General features: G+C 36.9%; 1 annotated feature.

The window, feature by feature from the left end:
- Positions 5406-5907: an enhancer, noted in NCBI's record as "NANOG hESC enhancer chr9:66768055-66768556 (GRCh37/hg19 assembly coordinates)". NCBI's record gives its function as "activates a minimal SCP1, AML or CMV promoter by ChIP-STARR-seq in primed H9 embryonic stem cells {active_cell/tissue: H9 hESC(primed)}" and the evidence as "EXISTENCE:reporter gene assay evidence [ECO:0000049][PMID:30033119]".

Raw genomic sequence — 6414 nt, 5'->3', positions numbered from 1 at the left:
TCAAAATAAATGTTTAACTCTGTGAGATGAATGCACACATCATAAAGAAGTTTGTCAGACTGCTTTTATCTAGATTTTCTGTGAAGATATTTCCTTTTCTACCAGAGGTCGCAAAGCGCTCCAAATGACCGCTTGCAGATTCTACAAAAAGAGTGCTTCCAAACTGCTCAATCTAAAGAAAGGTTCAACTCTGTGAGATGTAAGCACACATCACAAAGAAGTTTCTCAGAATTTTTCTGTCTAGTTTCTATGTGAAAATATTTACTTTTCCACCATAGGCCTCAAAGCGCTCCAAATGTCCACTTGCAGATTTTACAATAAGAGAGTTTCAAGACAGCTCAATCAAAAGAAAGTTTTAACTCTGTGAGATGAATGCACACATCACAAAGAAGTTTCTCAGATTCATATTATCTAGATTTTATGGTAATATATTTCCTTTTCTAACATAGGCTGCAAAGCGCTCCAAATGTCCACTTGCAGATTCCACAAAAAGAGTGTTTCCAAACTGCTCAATCAAAAGAAAGGTTCAACTCTGTGAGATAAACGCATGCATCACAAAGAAGCTTCTCCGAATTCTTCTGTGTAGTTTTGATGTCAAAATATTTCCTTTTCCTCCACAGGCCTCAAAGCGCTCCAAATGTTAACTTGCAGATTCTACAAAAAGATTCAAAACTGCTCAATCAAAACAAAGGCTTAACTCTGTGAGATCAGTGCACACATCACAAAGAAGTTTCTAAGAGTGCTTCTGTCTAGTTTCTATGTGAAGATATTTCCTTTTCCACCATAAGCCTCAAAGCGCTCCAAATGTCCACTTCCACATTCAACAAAAAGAGAGTTTCAAAACTGCTCAATCAAAAGTAAGAGTTAACCCTGTGAGATGAATGCACACATCCCAAGGAAGTTTCTCACATTGCTTCTGTCTAGATTTTATGTGAGGATATTTCCTTTTCTAACTTAGGCTGCAAAGCGCTTCAAATGCCCACTTACAGAATCTACAAAAAGAGTGCTTCCATAATTCTCAATCAAAAGAAAGGTTCAACTCTGTGAGATGAACGCACACATCACAAAGAAGTTTCTCAGAATTCTTGTCTCTAGTTTTTATGTGAAGATATTTCCTTTTCCACCATAGGCCTAAAAGCACTCCAAATGTTCACTTGCAGATTCTACAAAAAAAAGAGTTTCAAAACTGCTCAATCAAAAGAATGCTTTAACTCTGTGAGATGAATGCACACATCACAAAGAGGTTTCTCACATTGGTTCTGTCTAGATTTTATGTGAAGATATTTCCTTTTATAACAGAGGCAACAAAGCACTCCAATAGTCCACTTGCAGATTCTACAAAAAGAGTGTCTGCAAACTGCTCAATCAAAAGGAAGTTTTAACTCTGTGAGAAGAACGTGCACATCACAAAGAAGTTTCTCAAAATTCTTCTGTCTAGTTTTTATGTGAAGATATTTCCTTTCCCACTGTAGGCCTCAAAGCACTCAAAATGTCCACTTGCAGATTCTACAAAAAGAGAGCTTCAAAACTACTCAACCAAAAGAAAGGTTTAACTCTCTGAGATGAATGCACACATCACAAAGAAGTTTCTGAGATTGCTTCTGTCTAGATTTTATGTGAAGATATTTCCTTTTCTACCATAGGCAACAAAGCACTCCAATAGTCCACTTGCAGATTCTACAAAAAGAATGTTTCTAAACTGCTCAATCAAAAGGAAGGTTCAACTTTGTGAGATAAACGCATACATCACAAAGGAGATTCTCAGAATTCTTCTGTCAAGTTTTTATGTGAAGATATTTCCTTTTCCACCATAGGCCTCAAAATGATCCAAATGTCCACTTGCAAATTCTACAAAAACAGAGTTTCAAAACTGCTCAGTCAAAAGAAAGTTTGAACTCTGTGAGATGAATGCACACATGCCAAAGAAGTTTCTCAGATTCCTTCTGTCTAGATTTTTTTGAAGATATTACCTTTTCTACCATAGTCCTCATAGCGCTGCAAATGTCCACTTGCAGAATCTCCAAAAAGAGTGTTTCCAAACTGCTGAATCAAAATAAACTTTCAACTATTTGAGTTGAAGGCACACATCACAAAGAAGATTCTGAGAATACTTCTGTCTAGTTTTTATGTGAAGATATTTCCTTTTCCACTATATGCCCAAAAGCGCTCCAAATGTCCACTTGCAGATTCTACAAAAAGAGTGTTTCAAACCTGCTCTATCAAAAGAAAGGTTCAACTCAGTGAGTTGAATGCAAACATCACAAAGAAGTTTCTGAAAATGGTTCTGTCTAGTTCTTATGTGAAGATACTTCCTTTTCCAACATAGGTCTCAAAGGGATCCGAATGTCCAATGCAGATTCTGCAAAAACAGTGTTTCAAACCTGCTCTATCAAAAGAAAGGTTCAACTCTGTGAGTTGGATGCATACATCACCATCACAAAGAAGTTTCTGAGAATGCTTCTGTCTAGTTTTTATGTGAAGATATTTCCTTTTCCACCATAGGCCTCAAAGCGCTCAGAATGTTCACTTGCAGATACTACAAAAAGAGTGTTTGAAACCTGTTCTATCAAAAGAAAGGTTCAACTCTGTGAGTTGAATGTACATAGACAAAGAAGTTTCGGAGAAAACTTCTGTCTAATGTTTATGTGAAGATATTCCCGTTTCCAACGAATGCCTCAACGCATTCCAAATATCCACTTACGGATTCTACAAAAAGAGTGTTTCAAAACTGTTCCATAAAAAGAAAGTTTCAACTCTATGAGTTGAATGTACACATCACAAGAAGTTTCTGAGGATGCTGCTGTCAGTTTTTATGTGAAGATATTCCCATTTCCAACGAAGGCTTCAAAGCGATCCAAATATCCACTTGCAGATCCTACTAAAAGAGTGTTTCAAAACTACTCTATCATAAGGTATGTTCAACTCCATGAGTTGAAGGCAAACATCACAAAGAAGTTTCTGAGAATGCTTCTCTCTAGTTTTTGTGGGAAGATATTTGTTTTTCCACCATAGGCCTCAAAGCGCTCCAAATGTCCACTTGCAGATTCTACAAAAAAAGTGTTTCAAATCTGCCCTGTCAAAAGAAAGGATCAACTCTGTGAGTTGAATGCGCACAGAAAAAAGAAGTTTCAGAGAAACTTCTATCTAGTGATTATGTGAAGATATTCCCATTTCCAACGAAGGCCTCAAAGCGGTCCAAATATCCACTTGCAGATTCTACTAAAAGAGTGTTTCAAAACTGCTCTATTATAAAGTATGTTCAAGTCTCTGAGTTGAATGCAAACAGCACACAGAAGTTTCTGAGAATGCTTCTGTCTAGTTTTTATGGGAAGATATTTGTTTTTCCACCATAGCCTTCAAATCTCTCCAAATGTCCACTTGCAGATTCTGCAAAAAGAGTGTTTCAAACATGCTCTATCAAAAGAAAAGTTTAACTCTGTGAGTTGAATGCACACATCACAAAGATGTTTCTAAGAATGCTTCTGTCTAATTTTTATGTGAAGATATTTCCTTTTCCACCACAGGCCCAAAAGTCCTCCAAATGTCCACTTGCAGATTCCACAAAAAGAGAGTTTCTAAACTGCTCTATCAAAAGAAACGTTTAACTCTGTGAGATGAATGCACACATCACAAAGAAGTATCTCAGACTGCTTCTGTCTAGATATTATGTAAAGATGTTTCCTTTTCTACCATAGGACACAAAGCACTCCAAATGTCCCCTTGCAGATTCTGGAAAAAGAGTGTTTCCTAACTGCTCAATCAAAAGAAAGTTTCAACTCTGTGAGATGAATGCACACATCACCAAGAAGTTTCTCGGAATTCTTCTGTCTAGTTTTTATGTGAAGATATTTCCTTTTCCACTATAGGCCTCAAAGCACTTCAAATATCCACTTGCAGTTTCTACAAAAAGAGAGTTTCAAAACTGCTCATTCAAAAGAAAGGTTTAACTCTCTGAGATGAATGCAGACATAACAAAGATGTTTCTCAGACTGATTCTGCCTAGATTTTATGTGAAGGTATTTCCTTTTCTACCATAGGCCGCAAAGCTCTTCAAATGTCCAATTGCAGCTTCTAAAAAAAGGGTGTTTCCAAACTGCTCAGTCAAAAGAAATGTTCAATTCTGTGAAATGAATGCAGGCATCACAAAGAAGTTTCTCAGATAGCTGCTGTCTAGATTTTATGTGAAGAAACTTCCTTTTCTACCACAGGCAGTGAAGCCCTCCAAATGTCCACTTGAAGATTCTTCAAAAAGAGAGTTTCAAAACTGCTCAATCAAAAGAAATGTTTAACTCTGAGAGATGAACACACACATCACAAAGAAGTTTCTCAGAATGCTTTTGTCCAGTTATTATATAAAGATATTTCGTTAACCACCATATGCCTCAAAACACTTCAAATGTCCACTTGCAGATTTTACAAAAGAGAGTTTCAAAACTGCTCTATGAAAAGAAAGATTCAACTCTGTGAGATGAATGCACACATCACAAAGAAGTTTGTCAGGTTTCTTCTGTCTAGATTTTATGTGAAGATATTTCCTTGTCTACCATAGCTCACAAAGCGTTCCAAATGTCCACTTGCAGATTCTACAAAAAGAGTGTTCCCAAACCGCTCAATCAAAAGTAAGGTTCAATTCTGTGAGATGAACGCACACATCACAAAGGAGTTTCTCAGAATTCTTCCGTCTAGTTTTTATGTGAAGATATTTCCTTTTCCACCACAGGCCTCAAAGCGCTCCAAATGTCCACTTGCAGTTTGTACAAAAAGGGAGACTCAAAATTGCTCCATTAAAAGGAATGTTTTACTCTGTGAGATGAATGCACACATCACAAAGATGTTTCTCAGATTGCTTCTGTCTAGATATTATGTAAAGATATTTCCTTTTCTACCATAGGCTGCAAAGCACTCCAAATGTCCACTTGAAGATTCTACAAAAAGAGTGTTTCCAAACTGCTCAATTAGAAGAAAGGTTCAACTCTGTGAGATGAACACACACATCACAAAGAAGTTTCTCAGAATTCTTCTGTCTGGTTTTTATGTGAAGATATTTCATTTTCCACCATAGGCCTCAAGGCACTCGAAATGTCCACTTGCAGATTCTACAAAAAGAGTATTTCAAAACTTGTCCACCAAAGAAAGTTTCAACTCTGGGACATGAATGCAAGCATCACAAAGAAGTTTCTGAGAATGCTTCTATCTCGTTTTTTTTTTGTGAAGATATTTCCTTTTCCAACATAGGCGTCAAATTCCTCCAAATGTCCACTTGCAGATTCTACAAGAAGAGAGTTTCAAAATTCCTCAATCAGTAGAAAGGTTTAACTCTGTGAGATGAATGTACACATCACAAAGAAGTTTCTCAGATTTCTTCTGTCTAGATTTTATGTGAAGTTATTTCCTTTTCTACCATAGGCCACGAAGCGCTCCATATGTCCACTTGCAGATTGTACAAAAAGCTTGTTTTGCAAACTGCTCAATCAAAAGAAAGGTTCAACTCTGTGAGATGAAAGCACGCATCACAAGGAGTTTCTCAGAAATCTTCTGTCTAGTTTTTATGTGAAGATATTTCATTTTCCACCATAGGCCTCAAAGCGCTGCAAATGTCCACTTACAGATTCTACAAAAAGAGAGTTTCAAAACTGCTCAATCAAAAGAAAGGGTTAAACATGTGAGATGAACGCAAACATCAGAAAGAAGTTTCTCAGATTGCTTCTGTCTAGATTTTATGTGAAGATATTTCCTTTTCCACCATAGGCCTCAAAGCGCACCAATGTCCACTTGCAGATTCTCCAAAAAGAGTGTTTCTAAACTGCTCAATCAAAAGAAAGGTTCAACCCTGTGAAATAAATGGACACATCACAAAGAAGTTTCTCAGAATTCTTCTGTCTGGTTTTTATGTGAAGATATTTACTTTTCCACCATAGGCTGTAAATCGCTCCAAATATCCACTTGCAGACACTACAAAAAGAGTATTTCAAAAGTGCTAAATCAAAAGAAAAGTTCAACTCTGTGAGGTGAATGCACACATCACAAAGAAGTTTCTCAGAATGCTTCTTTCTTGTCTTTATGTGAAGATATTTCCTTTTCCATTCAGAAACTCGTAGCAGTGTTCTGTAATCCTGTGTGAGGGACAAACACTCAGAATCCAGCCACTGTGTACTGGAGTCCTATCTGAGGGCACACATTTAAAATCCAGATGTAGTCTCCTTGCTTTAGTGAATACACTTATCTCCTTTTCCTGCTATACATTTAGGCAAATTATTTTTCTGTATCTTAAATAAATGGTAAATACCTGAAATTTCTTACTTTTTCCAGGCAGAGTGTCTTCACTATTTAGCTGTAGAAGTATAACTATTTTTGTCTGTGTCACAATTTTGTACTCAGGAACCCTGGCCATGTCACTAGCCAAACGGACATAAC

Source organism: Homo sapiens, chromosome 9, assembly GCF_000001405.40.
Source record: "Homo sapiens chromosome 9, GRCh38.p14 Primary Assembly".
In the NCBI taxonomy this organism is placed as follows: Eukaryota; Metazoa; Chordata; class Mammalia; order Primates; family Hominidae; genus Homo; species Homo sapiens.
Note: the sequence above shows the minus strand (reverse complement) of the source record. Positions and strands in the feature narration are given on the sequence as shown.